Source organism: Homo sapiens, chromosome X (assembly GCF_000001405.40).
Source record: "Homo sapiens chromosome X, GRCh38.p14 Primary Assembly".
In the NCBI taxonomy this organism is placed as follows: domain Eukaryota; kingdom Metazoa; phylum Chordata; class Mammalia; order Primates; family Hominidae; genus Homo; species Homo sapiens.
The window spans coordinates 40,356,993-40,380,482 of record NC_000023.11 but is presented as its reverse complement, the minus strand read 5'-3'; the positions used below and the strand labels follow the sequence as shown (position 1 = coordinate 40,380,482).

The window sequence follows — 23,490 nt, the reverse complement described above, 5'->3', positions numbered from 1 at the left end:
AAGCCCAGAGGGCAGGTGAATTTTTAAAACCACACTATGGACTCACAAGAATTTCCGTGAAAACCAGCCATGGAGTGAGTCCACAGCGACAGTGCTGCCTTTCTTCCGGGGCTCTCCCTCCAGATGCGGCAGCAGCCCTCCCCATGCCCACCTTGCCTCCCCTCCAGCTGGGAGGTTCTTGGACATAGCTCTCCTTCACTTCACTCCATCATCGCCAGCTCTGGGCATGATCTGAGCTTTCCAGATAGTGAGTATTGCGGCCGACTGGGGTGAGTGGTTTGAGCACAGGAGCTGAGTTGACTTTGGATCCTCAGTGACTCTAGGAAAGTGGTGTACAGGGCCGGCACCTGAGGGACAGCAGGTGGAGATGATTGGCAGACAGCTGAGCAAACAGGTGGGCAGCACAGGAGGGAGGTGGGGCCTGAAAGTAAACATCTGGAGGTTTCCAGCAGCAGATGGGCTTGCACGGGATAGCGGGGGCCCAGAGAAGGTGCCTGGGAGCCAGGCAGAGAAGCTGCAGGAGGAGGAAGAGGGAGGAGGAAGGCTCACTGAAGGAGCCCTGGGGGCTTAAGCAAGCTACTCCAGATCGGCTCCCTCACACTCTCACTCCCTTCTAGCCAGCCAGTCCCTGCTACAGGCTCTGGAAAGCTAAAACCTTGCCTTCTCAGACTTCCTTGCAGCCAGGAGCAGCCATGGGACAGAGCTCTGACCAGTGAGACATTAGTAGAAGCCAGCTTGTAATGGGACCTCTTCTGCCCTCTCCTTCCGCTCTCAGCCTTAACTACGGAAGTGATGGCTCCACCTGCAGAAGCCGTCGTGGGATCATGAGGGAAAAGCTGAGAGAATTGCTGTGACATCTTTGAGCTGCTTGAAATGACTCCAACACTAGCAACCAATTCCCCTCAGGATTCTCATTACAAGGAGAAAAAACAAATAAACAAACAAACAAAAAACCTCTAACACATTTAAGCCACAATTACTTGGGTTTTCCATTACTCATGCAGAAGGCAGTCAATAGTATCAAACACTATAAAGATGTGTCAGTGAGGGCCCTTTATGGAACAGAAAAGACAACTCATGTTAGCATAAGCCTTGAAGAGATTGGTTGGCTCATGTAACTAGAAAGTGCATAATCAGAAGAGGCTTCAGGACAAGTTTGATCCAGAAGTTTAATGCTATCACCAAAGACCTGGTATCTTTTCATCTTTCCCCACCCATCCTTGAACCAAACACTTGCAGTAAAAGAGATAGGATCATGCTGACTGGCTTTGGCCAATTGAACCCATCATGGAGGGCAGTGTGGGAGGCAAGAATCAAAGTCTCCCAAATCACATGGTTGCTGGACAATGGGGAAAAAGCATCTGCAAAGGACACTCTAGGTGCTGTGATGAAAGGCAAATGGAAGCTAGGTGAGCAAGTAATGAGTGTTGGCCACAGCAATCTATTCTGGAAGGGTGAAGAGTGCATGGGGACTATTAGACATGGTCATCAGAAGGAGGCCATGCTGGCTGCAGTGAGCTATGCAGTAAGTGGGCAGGAGGAGGTGAGTGCTACTCTCTCAAGAAATTTCACACTGCTAAGAAACAAGAAACGACACTATCTGGGTTGAGCAAGAAGAGTTAAAGGAACACTGCTTCAGAACAGGGAGACTTGTATATAGTTGCAGGATGGGAGGAATGATCTGTTGGAAAATAAGAATTTGAGGAAGGAGGGAGCAATGAAAATTCAGTAGGCTGGGCGTGGTGGCTCATGCCTGTAATCCCAGCACTTTGGGAGGCTGAGGCGGGCAGATCACCTGAGCTCAGGAGTTCAAGACCAGCCTGGACAACATAGCAAAACCCTGTCTCTACTAAAAACACAAAAAAATTAGCTGAGCGTGGTGGCACACACCTGTAATCCCAGCTTCTTGGGAGGCTGAGATACAAGAATTGCTTGAACCGAGAAGGCAGAGGTTGCAGTGAGCTGAGACCATGCCACTGCACTCCAGCCTGGGTAACAGAATGAGACTCTGTCTCAAAAAAAAAAAAAAAAAAAAAAAGAAAGAAAAAGAAAGAAAAGAAAAAGAAAATTCTCTGAGTGCCTATTGTGAAACTCTGATGGAGGAAATGGGACAGAAAAAGTGGAGGTGCTGGTAGGATGCTGGTAGGTGGTACACAAAGACAGCCTGGAGTCTCTCAAAATACACCACAGCTGCCTTCCTTTTCTATTGCTATGTAATACATTACCACAATTTAGCAGCTTAAAACAACACACATTTATGCTTCTGTAGGTCAAAGTCCAAGCCAGGCAGAACTAGGTTTTCTGCCTAGGGTCTCAAAAAGCTGCAATCACAGTGTCTGCCCACTGTCTTCCTTTTGGGAGCTTGGAGTCTTCTCCCAAGCTCACTGGTTGCTGGCAGAATTCAGTTTCTTGGGGTTGTAGGACTGCTAGCTGTTCGCTGGGGACCTCTCTCTACTTCTAGAGGCCACCCTCAGGTCCTTGTTCTGTGGCCTCCTCCATAGGCAGTTCACATGTGGCTGTTTACTTTCTTCCTCAAGGCCAGCAAGATAGTCTTGCTGATGCTCTACCTTTTTGACTTTAAGGACTCACCTGATTAGGTCAGGCCCACCCAGGATAATCTCCCTTTTGATTCACTCAAAGTCAACTGATTGGGGACATTAATTACATTGGCAAAATCCCTTCTGCCATGTAACATAATCATGGGAGTGATATCCCATGATGTTCTCAAATCCCACTCACAATCAAGAAGAGGGGATGATTCAGGCTGTGTACATCAGGGGATGGGAATCCTTGGGGCCTTCTTAGAACTCCACCTACCATGACAGCTACATTCTCAAGGTTTTCAGGGGAAATCATAAACTATTGAAATTATTTTCTTTGCTTCCCTACTTGGTCTGCTTGAAGGCAGATGACCCAAACTGGCCTCCCTGCCAGCTGCCACTGAATCATTTCACCCAAAAAAAGTGCAAAAGTGCAAGACTCACTGTTCCCAGATTATCTGCAGGGTTTTTTCTCTCTCTCTTTCGTAGATCCTATTTTTGCCTGGGTTCCTTGAGAGCAGTCTATCGACTGTTCTCCCTCATATGAGTAAATAACTGTGTATTCAGTGAACTAGAGGCTTTTTTTTTTTTTGAGATGGAGTCTCACTCTTGTCACCCAGGCTGGAGTGCAATGGCACAATCACGGCTCACTGCAGCCTCCACCTCCTGGATTCAAGCGATTCTTGTGCCTCAGGCGCCCACTGCAACACCTGGATAATTTTTATATTTTTAGTAGAGACGGGATTTCACCATGTTGGCCAGGCTGGTCTCGAACTCCTGACCTCAGGCGATCTGCCCGCCTCAGCCTCCCAAAGTGCTGGGATTACAGGCGTGAGCCACCGTGCCCGGCCTCAGTGAACTAGAGGCTTCTGAAACAGTCTTGGATGGCTTATTTCTGGAGATTCCACTGAGATATTGTCCACCTTAGTCCTACACTCAGAGCCAATGGAAACACATTGCCAGAAAGGGCACCTTGTGAGTACTGGGAACCATTGAGGGCCTGGCTCCCCTTCCCCTAGCTCCTTTGTCCAGTAACTAGGCCAAGTTCTTTTTATATACCATTTCCACTGAACTCTTACAACTATTATACTAGGAAAATATTTGTATAACCCCTTCCAAAGAAGGGCAGGTTAAGATTCAGAGAAGCAAAGTCACTATCCCAACTCACTAACAAAAGGCTGAGCTTCTTCTTTCTCCTACAATCTGCTTCCCCCTTAGAGGCCACACCCCTATGACCTTTAGTCCAAGGAGGACTTGCCCTTGACTTACCCTTGTTATAGGTCTACCTGAAAGGTAGAATGAGCAGAGGTCACCAAAAACCCCTCAGCTTTGACACTTCCTTTACCCCTCCATGAAACTACATAGGGTGTCTACAAACCCCAGTGCTGAACAGAGGTTCCCAAACAGCCTGCCCTGCCCTAAGCCATGGGTCAGCGAAAGGCCAGGCAAGGTTAGCCCTTCCTAAAGGCTCATATGGGAAAAGTTATCTGTGCATCGAAGCCCCTGAAATGAGCAAGGTGTTGGGGGCAGTAGCCACCAGTGTAGGTGTGAGCTGAGCAATGCCTGCTTCCTTCCCAAGGGTCTCTGGAGGCAGCAGCTGCTCCTCCTACAACCTGGGGTTTGCTTGCCTACTTGCTGAACCCGCAGTGCTGGCCTGGTTATCTATTAATACTCCCTGATTTGCATCCCCATGTGCTACCTGGCCACCCTTCAAAAGTAGGGCTCCAAGATTTAGCATATAAATATACAGGGTGCCAGTTCAATTTGAATTTCAGATAAACAATGAGTAATTTTTTAGTACAAGTATACCCCCAAATACTGCACAGGATATACTTATACTGATGTTAAGTACATCAGTATGTGAAAATATTATTTGTTGTTTCACTGAAGTTCCAGCTGAACTGAGCATCCTGCATTTTATCTGGCAACTCTATCCAGAAGTTTTAGCCAGCAGGCAGAAAACTTGAGAAGAAAAATGCCCTTTGGATGAAAGATCCATCTGTAAAATCCTTTTAAATAGTCTGCACACAGGTAGCACACACTTTTCCACCACAAATACACACTCTGTGTCTGTCTCTCTCTGTCCCACACACATGCGTGTACACACACACACACACACACACACACACACTGCTATAGTTATCTATTGCTGCCTACTGTGTGCTTACTCTGTGACTTGTGTGCTGAAGCAACATGTCTCCTTTGTGGGCACCCCCTCCACTTGCTGCACCTGGATATCCTCATCTGTGAAGTGAAGGGATAGGGTTAGATGATGGGTGACGTCTCTTGAGTCTTCATGCGTGCGTGTGTGTCTGTGTGCGTGCGCGCGCACAGACACACACACATACACGGAGTTCTGCTCCCCACTTGGGTTAGAGTGAACCTTGAGTCTCTTCACTAAACCCCCCTTGCCCTAGGCCCAATCCCAACCCCAATCCTGCATCTGGCCCTCACAGCATTCACTGTGCACCCACTGATCTACCTGCCATCCTAGTGGGTCCTGGGAGTGTCACTGAATAGGACAATTAGTGGGGCAGGATGTGTAACAGATTGGGCTCACTGGTGATTTACAAGTGGTTTTAGAATAAAGTACCCAGATCACCCTTCAACACATGTCCCTTTCTCCAGGCAAGAGCCTGGGGTGCCCACCCCTATTAGTAAGTAGACAGTAGCCTTTGAGGAGTGGAATTCATTTGCAAGGCTGCTAGGAAATGAATTGTACCTCCCACAAAAAGTCATATGTTGAAGCCCTAACCCTCAGTGTCACTGTATTTGAAGACAGGACCTATAAGGAAGTAATTAAGGTTAGAAAGGGTTGCAAAGGTGGACTCCTATTTAAAGGGATTCGTGACATTGTAAGAAGAGACACCAGAGAGCTTGCTGTCTCTCTCTCCCCATCATGTGATGATACAACAAGAAGGTATTCATCTACAAGCCAGGAAGACAGCCCTCATCAAAACCTGACCTGCTGGCACCTTGATCTTGAACTTCCAGCTTCAGAACTGTGAGAAATGAATTTTCTGTTGTTTAAGCCACCCAGCCTGTGGTATTTTCTTATGGCTGTCCTAGTAGACTAAGACAGAGGGTATCTGGGCCCCCTGGATGTCCAAAGAGAATGCCCTTCCATGCCTTCAAAAGCAGGAGGAAAGTCACCGTGCAACCAGGGTGCAGGGAACAGCAGAGCCTCCTGCTGAGATCTGGGCCTAGCAGGTTGGGCAGAACACAAGGCTCCAACTGTCTCCAGGCTCTGGAGTCTGAGGGCCAAGCTGGCAGGTGACATAGCAAAACAGATGGCTCAAACAGGATGACCAGCTTCTCAGTTTGACCAGGGAAGCTCCAGTTCTAAGGCCCCAAGAAACTGTGATTTGAGGCAAGGTCTTGGGTCTCATCCTGGTACACTAGGTACGAGGCTTCTCTCCCACCCTAGGGCATGGACCCTGGAGCCATCCTAGACTCTGGCAGGAAGCCAGCAGTATTAGTTAGGGTTCTTCACAGAGACAGAACCAATAGGATGTGTCTAGATAGAGAAAGAGATTCATGCCTGGGTGCGGTGGCTCACACCTATAATCCCAGCACTTTGGGAGGCCAAGGTGGGTGGATCATTTGAGGTCAGGAGTTCAAGACCAGCCTGCCCAACATGGTGAAACCCCGTCTCTACTAAAAATACAAAAATTATCCAGGCGTAGTGCCAGGCGCCTGTAATCCCAGCTACTCATGAGGCTGAGGCACGAGAATTGCTTGAACCTTGGAGGAGAAGGTTGCAGTGAGCCAAGATTGCACGGCTGCACTCCAGCCTGGGTGACAGACTGAGACTCTGTCTCAAAAAAAATAAAATAAAATAAAATAAAATAAAAAGGGAGAGAAAGATATTTATGATAAGGAATTGGCTTATGGGATTATGAAAGCTGGCAAGTCCAAAATCTGCAGGGTGGGCTAGCAGGTGGAGACCCAGGAAGAGCCAATGCTGCAGTTCCAATCTCATGACATTTGCTGCAGGGCCAGGAAGAGCTAATGTTTCAGATGAAGCCCAAAGGTAGTCTGGTGGAGAATTCTCTCTTGCTTGGGAGAGGCCAGGTTTTTTGTTCAATTCAGGTCTTCAACTGATTGGATGAGGCCCACCCACATGAGGGAGAGCCATCTGCTTTACTTAAAGTGGATCAATTTAAATGTTAATCCCATCCTAAAACACCCCCACAGAAACACCAAGAATAATGTTTGTTCAAATATCTTGGTGCCCCATGGCCCAGCCAAGTTGACACATGCAATTGACCATCACAGAGGCCCTGTCCCTCTAGCTCCTAGATACACAGGCTCCCCCCACGTCTCCTTCAAGGACCCAGCTTTCCTAGCCCAGAGCACTTGGGGGGGCCTCCCTCTCCTGTCTGCCTCTCCTTGGTGCTTCACTCCCGCACTGGCTTATTTGGAAACTTCTCTCCAGGAACTGAGAGAATGTCTTTAATCACCTTAAGTTTGGGGAAACAAACTCTTAGTCATGATCCTCAAAGTCCATGAAGTAGTGAAGGGAAGGAAGGGGAAGGGGGAAAACTCTTAGAAGGAAATACGCACACATACACACACAAACACACACACACATATACATCTACATACCTATATACACGCACATACACACATGTACAAATACACATGTGTACACACACATGCACATACACATATACCCATACACACCTATACACATGCACATACACACATGTATAAATACACATGCATACACACACACATGCACACATGCACACACACATACCCATACACACCTCTACACATGTAAAAATACACGTGTACACACACATACACACACCACACATGCACATACACACATATAAATATACACACGTACACACACACATATGCACACATACAAACATATACACACACAAACATGAATACACATACACAGATATACATATATATACACATGCACATCGACACATACACAGATACGCACATGCACACAAATATACATATGCACATATACACATATGCATATACACATGCACACATATACACACCTACACACAAATATGCAGGCATACATACAAATATACACCTACACAAATGTACACACGTACACATCCATACCTAAACACATACATACACATTTCAAAATCCACCAAATGTCACCCACCTACACTGGCAAATGCTACCCATCCAAGGGCTATTGCCACCCATTGACAAAGGCTACCATGGGGACTGTTGAGAGCACTTTCTAGTGAGTCTCTGGAGAGGTGAGGTTATTTAACAGGGCCCTGGTGGGCCCCCTTTGTCTATCTGACCCTGAGCAATTAACTCTCTAAGCTTCTGTTTCTTCATCAGTAAAACAGTAATGGTAATCCCCACTCCTGAAAGTTCTTGTACAGGAAAAATCTGCCCATTCATCAGATATTTACTGGACATCTGCTGCATGCCAGGCACTGTGCTGGGACTCAGCAGTGAAAAGGGTCTAGGTGGCTTATTGCCATCAGATGATAGTGAAGGAGAAGAGGCCGGCAGTTATCGCAACTGGAAGCCATGTGCCAGGAAGTTGCACAAAGGGGCTGAAGGTACATAATGGGATTTTAAGCTAGTCAGGAACAGCATCCAAGACAACACAGGTGAGGGGAGGTCAGGAAAGCTTTTCCTGTGTGGTGGAGACTTTGGCAAGGCCATGTCCCAACGTGGGAAGTGAGTGCAGGGGGTGGGAGCTGGGGTGGCTACAGCAAATGTCACTACACACGGGAGGGTGGGGCCAGGAAAGGTAAGTCTGGAAATGTGGGGTAGCTGGATTGGACAAGGCCTTTTACAGGGTCTCGCTCTGTCGCCCAGGCTGGAGTACAGTGGCGTGATCTCAGCTCACTGCAGCCCCAACCTCTCTGGCTCAAGCCATCCTCCTGTCTCCCAAATAACTGGGACCACAGGCACACACCACCACACCAGGCTAATTTTTGTATTTTTTTGTACAGATGGGATCTCACCACATTGCCCAGGCTGGTCTGGAACTCCTGGGCTCAAGTGATTCCCCTGCGACAGCCTCCCAAAGTGCCACCATGCCTGGCCCGGACAAGGCCTTAAATGGAAGGCAAAGCCTTTTGACCATTTCTGTTCACAAAGGACTTTTTGTGTGACAGGAACACAGCCCGGTTGTAGAAGGGCCACTTTAGGATAGTTGGAATAGGGAAAGAACTTCTCCAAGAGGCAAGACGGCTGAGTCAGTGTGGAGGTGCTGGGTCTCAGAGCTTCAGTCACTACCTCAGACACTCCCACAATAGCCGGGAAGCCAGCCCCTGAGGTGGGAAGGAGGGCTTCCTGCCAGCCCCTTCCCATAAGGCAAACAGCTTTGCCCATGCCCTGAGCAGCAGCGCCCAGCTCCCTCCTTCATGCCACACCCTCCAGGCTCACCTGAGGCACAGTGGTTGGGACGGGCCTGGGTTTCACCTGTTTTGGCTGCAGGTTCCATTTGTCAGCCTGGATATCCCTTGTTCACAGGGCTATCACCTCTCATTGTGATTAAAGTAACGAGTTCCATTGATTCATCAAGATGGGAGTACAAGAGTTCCCAGCTAGGCAGCGTGGCAGGCCACCCTGGTTCACGGATTCCCTGCCCTGGATCTCCCCTGGAAGATGACAATCCAAAAAGACAAGGAAATTATCTTCTGGCCGGGCACAGTGGCTCACACCTGTAATCCCAGCACTTTTGGGAGGCGGAGGCGAGTGGATCAATTGAGGTCAGGTGTCTGAGACCAGCCTGGCCAACTTGGTGAAACTCTGTCTCTACTAAAAATACAAAAATTAGCTGGGCGTGGTGGCATGCGTCTGTAGTCCTAGCTACTCGGGAGGCTGAGGCAGGAGAATTGCTTGAACCCAGGAGGCAGAAGTTGCAGTGAGCTGAGATCATGCCACTGCACTCCAGCCTGTGTGACAGAATGAGACCCTGTCTCAAAAAAAAAAAAAGAAAAGAAAAGAAAAAGAAATTATCTTCCTCTTAGGAAGATTCATTCAGTTACTTTAACAACAAGGAGCAAAGCTACCCCAGCGGGAGCCCCTCACCTCCAAACCCTGTGAGCACACTCCAGAATCTCTTCTTCCATCTCGGTAGTGGCCCAGGATGCAAAGAAGTTTTTTTAGAGCTGGAAGGGACCTTAAATATGAACCTTAGACATGAAAGCAGAGCCCCCATTTTCAGATGAGAAGGTTGAGGTCCAGAGAGGAAGTGACTTGCCCAAGGTCACATAGCAGGAGGCAGGGCCAGGCCCCCCGGCAAGTCCACCTTCCTGCTTCTGGTTGCTCCTGCCAGTTGGGGGCCCCCAGGCCCTTTGAGCAGAAGGGCCTTCTTGGAAGGCTCTGCTGAGAGCAGCACAGGGGATCTGGCAACTGAGGTCCAGGGCTCCAGGGCTCCATCCTTGGGCAAACTGGGGTTACAGGCAGCTCCCTGAAGGCCTGCCTCCCCCAAGGGTGCTGCCCAGGATAAGAAAGCGCCTCACTCTTGCCTTTTAAGCACTGCCTTCTGGGGCAGGGGACGGGGAGAGGCCCCACAGCCACCAAGGAGGGGGAAAGGGGATGTGGAGTGGAGCCCAAATTCCCCAAAGCGGGAGTGGAGAACCAAGGTAACATGGAAAGGACATGGCAGGAGGCGTTTCCAGGGCCAGGTGGGAGTCAGCCCCATCTCCAGTTACCAACTTTGCTTGAACTACACTTCGGATTCCTCATCTGTAAAGTGGGTTAATACCAGCACTTCCCTCGTGGGGTTATTCTGAGGATCCAGTGAGATGCCCATGGGACAAGGTTAGCAGAGAATAGGTCCATTCATTGTGGTGCCATCCCCTAGTGCAATCCAAACAGCAGCAAAAACACATGTGGTAGAGACCCACATGCCCACAGAGGAGTCTCACAAGCAGATACACTGCAAAGCTAAGAGAGCAGCAGAAGAAATTCGGCGAGATCAACAGGGAGGTCAAGATGCCTAAACACACACACCACTACGTTTTACACAGTGATGCACAGCTATGTCATGAAAATGGGAAGACATGTATAGAAATTAGGAACAGCAGATTTCATCCAGTGGTTACCTCTGAAGTAGGGAAGGAGGATGTGATCAGGAAGGCAGGACAACCGGGAGCTTAATTTACACAGGTAGTGCTTGATTTCATCCAGAACACGAGCAAGTCCATTGCACTGCACACAGCAGTGTCTGAGGCTCAGCCTGGAGCATCTTTCTCCCGTCCTTTCCTGGCTGCCTCGTGCTCATCTTCCAAGCCTTGGCTGAAACACACTCCCACTGGGAACCCTTTCCTGGCCCCCTCCCCACTCCCCTGCCCCAAGCCTGGGATGGGGCCACTGACAAACGGTCCTAGACCCCTGGCTGTGATCAGGCCTGTCACAGGGGCTGTCGTTGAGGATTTAGTGTCTTTCTCCCCTGGCTCTTGATGGCAGGGGCTGAATCTTCCTTGCCCAATGGAAGGAGTAGCCCATAACTGGTCCTCTGTCACTGAGCAAATATTTATTGAACACCTACTATATGCCAGGCACCAGGCATATAGCAGCAAACAAAACAGACAAAACTCTCTGTGCCCCTAGAGCTGGCATGAATGTTTGTTGAATGAAATGAATGTTGAATGAATGAATGAATTCAGAGCAACTGAAAACCTCATAGAAGGTTGCATGTGGTGGCTCATGCCTGCAATCCTAGCACTTTGGGAGGCTGAGGTGGGAGGATCATTTGAGGCCAGGAGTTCAAGACCAGCCTGGGCAACACAGACCCTACCTGTATAAAAACAAAACCAAAAAACTTAAAAATAAAAGAAAACCCCACAGAAAATATCCCCTATCTCCTGGTTCCCTCTCCCCCTCCACACTAGGGGAGATTGGGATCCAGAGGAAGTGAAATAAAATCATAAAAGAAAGCATCTTCTAGGAAAACACTGGCAAGGCGGCCAGGGCCAGGGCCGGGGTGGCGGTGAGGGATCCCCAAGGTTGTCCCACACGCCACCCAAGGGATCCTAATCCAGGTGGCTCCCCTTGATTTATTTTCCTGGGGAAGATAATCCCTGCTCTCTCTGAGGGAGGTCCATGCCACCACTTAGCTTCTCCACAAATGTCAAATGATCTCATCCCTCCTGTGCAGGCAGAGAGTAATAAAAACAATGAATGTGTAAGCAAAGTTCACACCCAGTTATCCCATGCTTAATTCAAGGCGGAGAGAGAAGGGTAGGTGGAGGAAGCAGTGGTTTCTCCCCAACCTCCTCACTCCCACACACCTCCTTTCTGATCAAATCCCCCTACAACAGTGGTTCTCACAGTGTGGTCCACAGACCGGGCTCAGCATCATCTGGGAGCTTGTTAGAAATGCACATTCTTGGGCCCCACCCCAGACCTGCAGAATCAGCTGCTCCAGGCTGGGCCCTGGTACTCTTTGCTTTAACAAGCCCTCCAGGGAGCTCCAATGCAAGAGGCTGGGGAATCACCTGGGAACCTTGAAAAACTACTGATGTCTGCATCCCTCCCCATCTCCCAGGATTCTGAAATAATTGGTCTGGGAAGAGACCTGGGCTTCCGGAGATTTTGAAGCTCCCTAGGTGACTCTGCTGTGCACCCGGAGAGCAGTCCTGGGACCCAGTCCCCTAATTCTGTCATCAGGGCAGAGAAAAAGAATTTCTCACTTACAAAGGGTTTGTTACTATGCTGACATAGCACAATGTTTCTCAAACTTCAGCAAGCATCAGAATCCCCTAGAGTGCTTGTTAAAGCCCCGGTTCTCTGATTCAGCAAGTCTGAGGTGGGGCCTGAGAATTTGTATTTCTAATGAGTTCGCAGGTGATGCTGCTCATCGTCTGAAGACCACACTGAGAACCACTGACAAAGATTTTTTGTTGGACCAAATGTTAGTTAGGCTCCCCAACCTTCTTCTAGGTCCATCTGTGCCCATCCTTGTAAAAACTCATATTAGTAAGAACCCCCTACTCTCAATATCTGATCAGTTCCTCACCCTCCACCATCCCAGAGTGATATCTGATCACCCTGGCCAGCCTTCAGCAAGAGTCCTGTCAGGTTGGTTTAGGCAGAATGGGTACCACGATGTTCTTTCTTAGTAATTTTCCATCCACTGACCTCACCCTGCCCCTTAACTGTAAATTCTCACTTGCCCATGCTGTATTTGGGGATGAGCCCAATCTCTTTCCTCTACTGCAAAATCCCATTGTAGTGTTCCCTATACCTATCTCGATGATCCTGAATAAAGTCTGGCTTAGCGTGCTTTAACAAGGTGTCATTAAATTTGTTTTATGTATTTTTTTAATTGGCAGATAATATGTTTTCATCATGTACAACATGATGTCTTGAAGAATACATACGTTGTAGAATGGCCAAATCAAGTCAATTAACAAATGCATTACTTTGCAGTTACCACTTTCTGGTAACAGCCCGTAATATTCACTCTCTTTACATTTTTCAAGAACAGTACAGACGGTCCTGACTTACAATGGTTCGATTTACAACTTTTTGACTTTACAGTGGAGTGAAAGTGATACACAGTCATTACACTCCTCAACTTACTACTCAACTTATACTGGGGTTATGTCCCAATGAAAATGTCACAAGTCAAAAGCACGCAAGAAGCATCTGTACATCGTCATTAACTATAGTCACTTTACTGTATGATAGATCTTTTGACATTTCTTCCTCTTAACTGTTAAGTATATATCCTCTGACCAACCTCTCCCCATCCCTGCTAAGCACCCCACCCTCTGATAACCACCATTATACTCTCTACTTTTATGATCAATCTTTTTAGATTAGGTATTTTTTTCCTTTAACATCACTTAGCCTAGATGATCCTTAGAAAAACCCTCTGAGATCAGCATCATTACCTCATTTAAGGAGTGGGGAAAGTGGGACACAGAGGAGCTAAGTGACTTGCTCAAGGTAGCACAGTTGGTGACGGAGCTGGATTTGAAGCCAATAGGTCAGCTCCAGAGCCCCTGTTCTTTCCCGGGTGCAGTTTGTTCAGTGTAGGGATCAGGATTTGTTCTGAGGGACATCCTGCATTCTTTCCCCTGCCAGCACTTTCCTCCCAGCCCTGCCTCCTCCAGGGCCAGGAAAGCAGTGCAACAAGGGTGGCTGTGGGTGGCTTTGTTTGTGCCTGACATTCCTCCAGGGTTTCTCTCCCCAGCTGCTCAATGCCTTCTGTTGTCTCCTAATTATTCAGGACCACATGCAGGCCTGGGTCCCCTAAAGTCCCCTGATATAATTTGAATCTGTATCCCCACCCAAATCTCAACTTCAGTTGTAACCCGCAATGTTGGAGGTGGGGCCTGGTGGGAGATGGTTGGATCATGGGGGTGGATTTCTCATGAATGGTTTAGCACCATCCCCCTTGGTGCCGTTCTCGTTCTCGTGGTAGTCAGGGAGTTCTCAGGAGATCTGATTGTTTAAAAGTGTGAGCATCTCCCCTATCCACTTTCTCCTGCTCTGGCTCTGTGAGACGTCTCGCTCCCCCTTTGCCTTCCACCATGATTGGAAGCTTCCTGAGGCCTCCCCAGAAGCAGAAGCCACTATGCTTCCTGTACAGCCTGCAGAACCATGAGAAAATTACACCTCTTTTCTTTATAAATTACCCAGTCTCAGGCATTTCTTTATAGCAATGTGAGAACGGCCTAATATATCCCCTTTGCTTTGGCATTCCATTGCAGCCCCTTGAAGACCCAAACTCTTCCATCAGCTGTCAATTTTGCACTAAGCACAGTTGGCCACTATTCCTCTCAGTGATACCTGCCTTCAACATGGGAAGCCTTTATCAAAGTTAGTGGACCTCTCAGGATGGAACTTAAGGCATTAACATCACTTATTTATCTATTCATGCCCTCATTCAAACAGCCATTCTGTCGACCTTTATTGAACATCTATGTAACAGATCCCATGCAAGGTGCTGGGAATTGAAATACAGGGAAGACTTGATCACCTATCTCAAGATGTTTCCTCAAGGAGACAGAAGGACCAGGGAATGTAAGTCCCATGATGGCAAGGATTCTATCTGGCTTACTCACTGCTGCCTAGAAAAGAATCTAGAGCATCATTGGCCCTCAATAAGTATTGAAGGAAGGAAGGAAGGAAAGAAGGAATTGAAGGGGAACCTGCTTGAGGAATTGTCCTTTTCTTTCTCCCCAGGTGTCAGTCAAGTCCAGAATATCCTCACTGTTTATGTGAATAATGTGTCCACTTGGGAATGATGTTCAGGTCAACTATGAGCACCCAAAGTACTAAGCCCTGTTCAAGAAATGCCCTGTTCCATCACATTACTCAACTTCAAACTACACTACAAGGCTACAGTAACCAAAACAGTATGGTACTGGTACATAGACACATAGGCCAATGAAACTGAATAGATAACCTAGAAATAAAACCACACACCTAAAACCAACTATCTTTGACAAAGTCAACAAAAATAAGCAATGGAGAAAGGACTCCCTATTCAATAAATGGCGCTGGGATTACTGGCTAGCTATATGCAGAAGATTAAAACTGAATCCCTACCTATCACCATATACAAAAATTAACTCAAGATGGATTAAAGACTTAAATGTAAAACCTTAAACTATAAAAATCCTAGAAGAAAATCTAGGCAATACCCTTTTGGACATCGGCCTTGGAAAAGAATTTATAACTAAGCCCTCAAAAGCAATTGCAACAAAAGCAAAAATTGACAAGTGAGACCTAATTAAATTACAAAGCTTCTGCACGGCAAAATAAACTATCAACAGAGTAAACAGACAAGCTACAAAATGGGAGAAAATATTTGCAAACTATGCATCTGACAGGTCTAATATCCAGAATTTATAAGGAACTTAAACAATTCAACAAGCAAAAAACAAAACTCCATTTTAAAAAAGTGGGCAAAGAACATGAGCAGATACTTCTCAAAAGAAGACATACAAGTAACCAACAAACATATGAAAAAATGCTCCACATCACTAAGCATCAGAGAAATACAAATCAAAACCACAATTAGTATCATCTCACACCAGTCAGAATGGCTATTATTAAAAAGTCAAAAAGTCAAAAAATAACAGATATTGGTGAGGCTGTGGAGAAAAGAGAATGTTTATACACTGTTGGTGGGAATGTAAATTAGTTCGACCACTGTGGAAAGCAGTTTGGAGATTTCTCAAAGATCTAAAAATAGAATTACCATTCAACCCAGAAATCTTATTACTGGGTATATATTCAAAGGAAAATAAATCATTCTACCAAAAAGACACATACACTTGTATATTCATCACAGTACTATCTATAATAGTAAAGACATGGAATCAACCTAGGTGCCCATCAATGGTGGACTAGATAAAGAAAATGTGGTAAATATACACCATGGAATATTATGCAGCCATAAAAAAGAATGAAATCATGTCCTTTGCAGCAACCTGGATGCATCTGGAGGCCATTATCCTAAGTGAATTAACGCAGAAAGAGAAAACTAAATACTACATGTTCTCACTTATAAGTGGAAGCTAAGCATTGGGTACACATGGACATAAAGAAGAGAACGATAGACATCAGGGCAGAAGGGAGGAAGAGAGAAAAGGACTGAAAAACTACCCATTGAGTACTATGCTCACCACCCTGAGTGATAGGATCAATCATGCCCCAAACCTCAACATCCTGCAATATATTCATGTAACAAACCTGCACATGTACCCCTTGAATCTAAAACAGGAGTTAATTTTTTTTTTTTTTTTAGATGGAGTCTCGCTCTGTCGCCCAGGCTGGAGTGCAGTGGCACAATCTCGGCTCAGTACAGCCTCTGCCTCCCAGGTTCAAGCAATTCTCCCACCTCAGTCTCACAAGTAGCTGGGATTACAGGCACCCACCACCACGCCTGGCTAATTTTTGCATTTTTAGTAGAGATGGGATTTCACCATGTTGGCCAGGCTGGTCTCGAACTACTGACCTCAGGCGATCCACCCACCTCTGCCTCCCAAAGGCTGAGATTACAGGCGTGAGCCACCGTGCCAGCCCCAAAATTTTTTTTAAAAAAGAAATGCCCTTCCCAAACTCTTGCTGCAACTTCTAGTCTGTTCCAACCAGGGTGCTGGGTTCCCAGAAGGTACCCAGGAAGTATTCGTGGCCCCCAAGGAGGCAGTGGAGGTAAAAGAAATGCCATGCCTGAAATGAGAAGCAAAAACACTGAAAGGCTGGGGGCGGTGGCTCACGCCTGTAATCCCAGCACTTTGAGAGGCTGAGGTGGGTGGATCACTTGAGGCCAGGAGTTCGAGACCTGCCTGGCCAACATAGCAAAATCCCATCTCTACTAAAAATACAAAAATTACCAGGGCGTGGTGGCAGGTGCCTATAGTCCCAGTTACTTGGGAGGCAGAGACAAGGAGAACTGCTTGAACACAGGCGGTGGAGGTTGTAGTAAACTGAGATGGCGCCACTGCACTCCAGCCTGGCCGACAGAGCGAGTCTGTCACCTGTCTCAAAAACAAACAAACAAACAAAAACACTGAAGAAGAAGGGAAAGAGGGAGAGAGAGGGGAGCAACTCAGGCGTAAGCTGCAGCTAGGGAGACGAAATGGTCTTTTGTCTGGTATGGTCTCAACTTTAGCATCGAAAGTCTCTAGTCCCAGGAAACCCATCAGTCCTGGGCAAACTTGGCCTTTTGGTTACCTTAGCTTAGCTAAAGGGAAAGGAAGAGGGTGGGGTCTGGGAGAGGGTGGGGTCTGCATTTATCAAAAGTAGAAAGAGGACTGGGGAGACCAGGGCAAAAGAATAAATGTGCAAAGTGCAGTTCAATAATCTGTTTGTATGCCTGAGGTCTGGGACTGGATCTGGATTTTATATTCAGGTCATCCACCAGGTCTTAAGGGTTTAGATTCTGGAATTTATAAACAAGGGTTTAAATCTTCTGAGACTCCATTTTCTCATCTGTAAAATGGGTCAATTAATAGTACTTTGCTCATGGAGTTATTAAAAGGGTTAAACTAGACAATAAATGTAAAGTACTCAGCATCGTGCATATGGTAAGTAAATAGTAGGTATTAGTGCTATTACCTGGCTTCTAGTGGTTGCCCAGTAAATGTTTAATCCTTAATGGCCCCTCTTGATCCCTGATGAAAGGGGTCAGGTAGAAGGCTTGGGGCGGGGGTGTGATTTTTGTCCCAGGCTCGCAGCCCCCTCTTGACTCCTGCTAGGAGAGGGCAAAGTACTGAGGACTTGCCATTTACCTTTGTTGATGCAGTTAAGGGCTTCTGGGGAAGCGGGAATTAATCCAAGAGGGAGCCGGGTCTATCCATGGGTAAATGAATCTGACCAGGACCTTCATTTGCACCCTAAATGCCATCCAGCCATCATCTTACATATCCCCAGTCCATTCCCCCTTCCACTCTCCTAGGTGACAACTTCCCACCTCCTCCGTGCGCTGCCACCTACAAGAGCTCCTCCTCCCTTGCAACCAATGGCCTTGTTCCTGGCTTGTCCAGCAAACTGAAACCATCGAAAAAGGACTTTGCCGGGAGCGGTGGCTCACGCCTGTAATACCAGCACTTTGGGAGGCCGAGGCGGGCTGATCACAAGGTCAGGAAATCGAGACCATCCTGGCTAACACGGTGAAACCCAGTCTCTACTAAAAATACAAAAAATTAGGTGGGCGTGGTGGCGGGCGCCTGTAGTCCCAGCTACTCTGGAGGCTGAGGCAGGAGAATGGCGTGAACCCGGGAGGCGGAGCTTGCAGTGAGCCGAGATGCGCCGCTGCACTCCAGCCTGGGCAACAGAGCGAGACTCCGTCTCAAAAAAAAAAAAAAAAGAAGAAAGAAAAGAAAAGAAAAAGGACTTTGGCAGCCTCTGCCACCATATGTACCCACCAATCTGCCTTCCCACTTGCCACTTGGGATGAACTGTCCCCTGCTCTTAGCTCAAACCAACACCATCCCCTCTCATCCACGCAAGGACAGCTCCCTCAATTCTCTCCTTTCCTGCGCTGTTAAATATTCCCTCTTCACTACATCACTCTCATTAGCATAAGAACGTTTCTGATTTCTCCTGTCTTAAAAAACTTTCCCTTGAGCCCACTTCCTCCTGCAGCCACTGCCCACTTCTCTGCTTCCCATAGAAACAAAATATTCAAAAGAGGCCAGGCGGGTGGCATGCGTCTGTAGTCCCAGCTACTTGAGAGGCTGAGGCAGGTGGATTGCTTGAGCCCAGGAATTCAGGTCCGGCCCTGTCTCTTAAAAAAAAAAAAATTCAAAAGAATTGTCTATATCTGCTGTCTCCTTTTCCTCTTCTCACCTCCCTCTCTCTTTTTTTCATTGTGAAATGTAAAGCTTGTAGAAAAATGCTGAAAACATTAATATACTCATAGGACCCAGCAATCCCACTCCTGGGTATATGCCCAAAGGAATGAAAAGCAAGGATTCAAAGAGAGTATGCCAACATTGTATGCCAATATTCACAGCAGCACTATTCACAATCGCCAAAAGGTGGAAACAACCCAAGTGTCTATCAGCAGATGAACGGATAGACAAAACATAATACAGTCATTCCTCAGTATCCATGAGTGGACTGGTTCCAGGACCCCAGCAGATACCAAAATCTTGGGATGCTCAAGTCCCTTAAATAAAATGGTGTAGTACTTGCATATAACATATACTTTAAATCATCTCTAGATTACTTATATCATACCTAATACAATGTAAATGCTATGTAAACAGTTGTTATAGCATATTGTTTTTTATTTGTATTATTTTTATTGGGCTTTTTTTGGGTAATATTTTCTTTTTTTTTTTTAGAGATGGGAGATCTCACTACGTTACCCAGACTGGTCTCAAGCTCCTGAGCTCTAAGGATCCTCCCGCATTACTCTCAAGTAGCTGAGACTACAGACATGGGCCACTACGTATAGTCTTTCAATATTTTCAATCTGAGGTTGATTGAATCTGAGAATGCCAAACCCACAATACGAGAGCCAACTGTGTATCCCTATCATAGAACAGTATTTAGTTACACGAAGGAACGAAATTCTGATACATGCTACAACATGGATGAATCTTAAAAATGCTATGCTAAGTGAAAGAAGCCAGACACAAAAGGACAAATGCTGTATGACTCCACTTATACGAAATATCTAGAATAAGCCCCTGGCCCGCCCTACCTGTGGCGTGGCGTCAGCAGCGGCTGCGTTAGAGGCGGGTGGCGGCGCGGGTGTTTACGTCAGGTCGCAGGGTGTCGCTGGCAGCATGGCGGACTACCTCATCAGCGGCGGCACCCGCTACCAGCCCGAGGATGGGCTCACCGCACAGCAGCTCTTTGCCAGCGCTGACGACCTCACCTACAACGATTTCCTGATTCTCCCAGGATTCATAGACTTCCTAGCTGGTGAGGTGGACCTGACCTCAGCCCTGACCCGGAAGATCACGCTGAAGACGCCACTGATCTCCTTTCCCACGGACACTGTGATAGAGGCCGACATGGCCATCGCGATGGCTCTGATGGGAGGTATTGGTTTCATTCACCACAACTGCACCCCAGAGTTCCAGGCCAACAAGGTGCAGAAGGTCAAGAAGTTTGAACAGGGCTTCATCACAGACCCTGTGGTACTGAGCCCCTTGCACACTGTGGGTGATGTGCTGGAGGCCAAGATGCGGCATGGCTTCTCTGGCATCCCCATTACTGAGACCGGCACCATCGGCAGCAAGCTGGTGGGCATCCTCACCTCCCGAGACATCGACTTCCTTGCTGAGAAGGACCACACACCCTCCTCAGTGAGGTGATGACGCCAAGGATGGAGCTAGTGGTGGCTCCAGCAGGCGTGACGTTCAAAGAGGCAAATGAGATCCTGCAGCGTAGCAAGAAAGGGAAGCTGCCTGTTGTCAATGATCATGATGAGCTGGTGGCCATCATCGCCCGCACGGACCTGAAGAAGAACCGAGACTACCCTCTGGCCTCCAAGGATTCCCACAAGCAGCTGCTGTGCGGGGCAGTTGTGGGCACCTGTGAAGATGACAAATTCCGCCTGGGCCTGCTCACCCAGGCGGGCGTCGATGTCATAGTCTTGGACTCGTCCCAAGGGAACTCGGTGTATCAGATTGCCATGGTGCGTTACATCAAACAGAAGTACCCCCACCTCCAGGTGATTGGGAGGAATGTGGTGACAGCAGCCCAGGCCAAGAACCTGATTGACGCTGGTGTGGATGGGCTGCACGTGGGCATGGGCTGCGGCTCCATCTGCATCACCCTGGAAATGATGGCCTGTGGTCGGACCCACGGCACTGCTGTGTACAAGGTGGCCGAGTATGCCTGGCGTTTTGGTGTGCCCATCATAGCTGATGGTGGCATCCAGACCGTGGGGCACGTGGTCAAGGCCCTGGCCCTTGGAGCCTCCACAGTGATGATGGGCTCCCTGCTGGCCACCACCACGGAGGCCTCCGGTGAATACTTCTTCTCAGACGGGGTGCCGCTCAAGAAGTATCAGGGCATGGGCTCTGTGGATGCCATGGAGAAGAGCAGTAGCAGCCAGAAACGATACTTCAGCGAGGCGGATAAGGTGAAGTTCTCGCAGGGTATCTTGGGCTCCATCCAGGACAAAGGGTCCATTCAGAAGTTCGTGCCCTACCTCATAGCGGGCATCCAGCACAGTTGCCAGGATATCGGGGCCCGAAGCCTGGCTGTCCTTCGGTCCATGATGTACTCAGGAGAGCTCAAGTTTGAGAAGGGGACCGTGTCGGCCCAGATCGAGGGTGGCGTTCATGGCCTGCACTCTTACGAGAGGTGGCTGTACTGAGGAGAGTGGTGGAGGCCGAGGTGGTTGAAGGGGCGTGCCCCGCTTTCCCCCTTTGGGCACAGCCTCCCTCCTTAACTGAGTGATCCACAGATTTACACTATGGGTTCCCCAGCTCCTTTCCAGGGAGAGAGGACGGGAGGCCCTGAGGGTACTGTTGCCCCTCGCTGGGCATCTCCCACAAAGTCAGGACCGCTCCCTGGGCCAGGCTGCCCTGGGAAGCCCAGCCCAGCCAGCCAGGCTCTCAGGCCCTGCGCCTGCCTCAGGTCTTTCTTGCTGCAGCCTGCTCCAGCCCGGCCCCCACCCCAGGGGCAGGCCGCCCCTCCTGGCTTCTCCTGTAGGACACCTCCCTGCCCCCCAGCTCCCCAAGAAATGGCACTCTCCTGGCCCTGCCTCTGGCCCTTCCCAGGCTGCTGCCCCCTCAGCCATGTGGCACTTCTGAGCTCCTGACCTAGGCCAGCGGGAGGTCTCTGCCCGCTTCTCCGGCACTGGGCTCCAATTGAGTCCTGCTCCTCAGGCCACTCCCCTGTCCCTGGCCCTGGGGAGGACACTGCCCTGGTCATGGCCACCTGCCCATCGTTCCTGACTCACCACCGTCCCCAGGTGTGCCATTCCTGCCCTCTCCTCAGCTGCAGTTTAAGGCTTTAACTTTGCACACTTTGGGATCACAGTTGCGACATTGTGGGTATTAAATAATTGGAATAAATCAAGCAGATCTCAACGCCTCCAAAAAAAAAAAATCTAGAATAGGCAAATTCATAGAGACAAAGCCAAATAGAAGTTACTAAAGAGACAAAGCCGAATAAAACTTACCAAAGGCTAGGGAGAGGGGAGAATGGGGAGTTAATGCTTAATGGGTACCGAGTTTCTGTTTGGGTTTATGAAGTTTTGGAAGCAGGTAGTGTGAAGGTTGCACAACATTGTGAATGTACTTAATGCAATTGAATTGTATGCTGAAAATGGTTAAAATGGCAAATTTTCTGTGGTATATATGTTTTACTACAATTTCAAAAAATTAATAATTTAATATACCAAATGCCAGAGACTTGTACCGTTTAAATGGGTGAATTATACCTTAATAAAGCTGTTAAAAATAAAATTGTAAAACATAATTGTACAGTTTAGTGAGTTATCATGAAGCAAACACTTGTGTAATGACCACTCTATAATCAAGAACCAGAAAAATTTTGAGACTACTCTGGCCAACATAGTGAGACCCCATCTCTAATTTTTCTTTAAAAACTTATTTTTGAAAAAGTAAAAAAAAAAGAACCATAACATTGCCAGCACCACCAAAGCACCCCCCTGTATCCCACCCATTCCCACTCTTCTCCCCACTAACCTAACTTCTTGGTAGTAATTTCTTAGCATTCTCTTATACTTTTACAGCCTAGTTAGGCATCCCTAAACATACTAGTTCAGTTTTGCCTGTTTTTGAATTTTATATAAATGAGATAACATAGAAAGTGTTCTTTTGTGTCTGGTTTCATTTGCTCATCATTATGTTTCCGAGATTCAACTATGTTGTTGGATATAAGCTACAGGTGGTTCATTTGCATTGCTGTACACTAGTGTTCCATTGCATTATTTTTTCTTTTGAGATGGAGTCTCTCTCTATTGCCCAGGCTGGAGTGCAGTAGCACAATCTCGGCTCCCTGCCACTTCTGCCTCCCGGGTTCAAGAGATTCTCGTGCCTCAGCCTCCCAGGTAGTTGGATTACAGGTGCCCACCACCTTGCCGGTTAATTTTGTATTTTCAGCAGACAGGGTTTCACCATATTGGCCAGGCTGGTCTCGAACTCCTGACCTCAGGGGATCCGCCATCCTCGGCCTCCCAAAGTGCTGGGATTACAGGTATGAGCCACCACGCCCGGCCGCATTTGTATATTAAAATGTACTTACCCATTCTATTGTTAATGAGTATTTGCTGCTATGAGCAGTTTATGCGTGTACATGCATTTCTGACTGATATAAACCTTGGAGTGGAATTTTTGGTTCTCAGCGTTATGCATATCCTCCACTTTGGTAGATAATGCTCAATTATTTTTGAAAATGTTCTATTTCACACTCCCACTAGCAGTGTGAAAGTTCCTGTTGTTCCATATCCTTGCAAAGACTTAGTATTGTCACTCTTAAACTTTAGCCATTCTAGTGGGAGTATAATGGTATCTCCTTGTGGTTTTCATTTCCATTT

General features: G+C 47.7%; 1 long non-coding RNA gene and 1 pseudogene across 1 annotated transcript in view; one reads left to right on the top strand and one right to left on the bottom strand.

Moving 5' to 3' along the window:
- The window catches only part of LOC105373182 (uncharacterized), an 82,002-nt gene that overhangs the window by 19,560 nt on the left and 38,952 nt on the right, over positions 1-23,490 (bottom strand). The window lies entirely within an intron of this gene.
- On the top strand, positions 19,686-22,026 carry IMPDH1P2 (inosine monophosphate dehydrogenase 1 pseudogene 2; annotated as a pseudogene).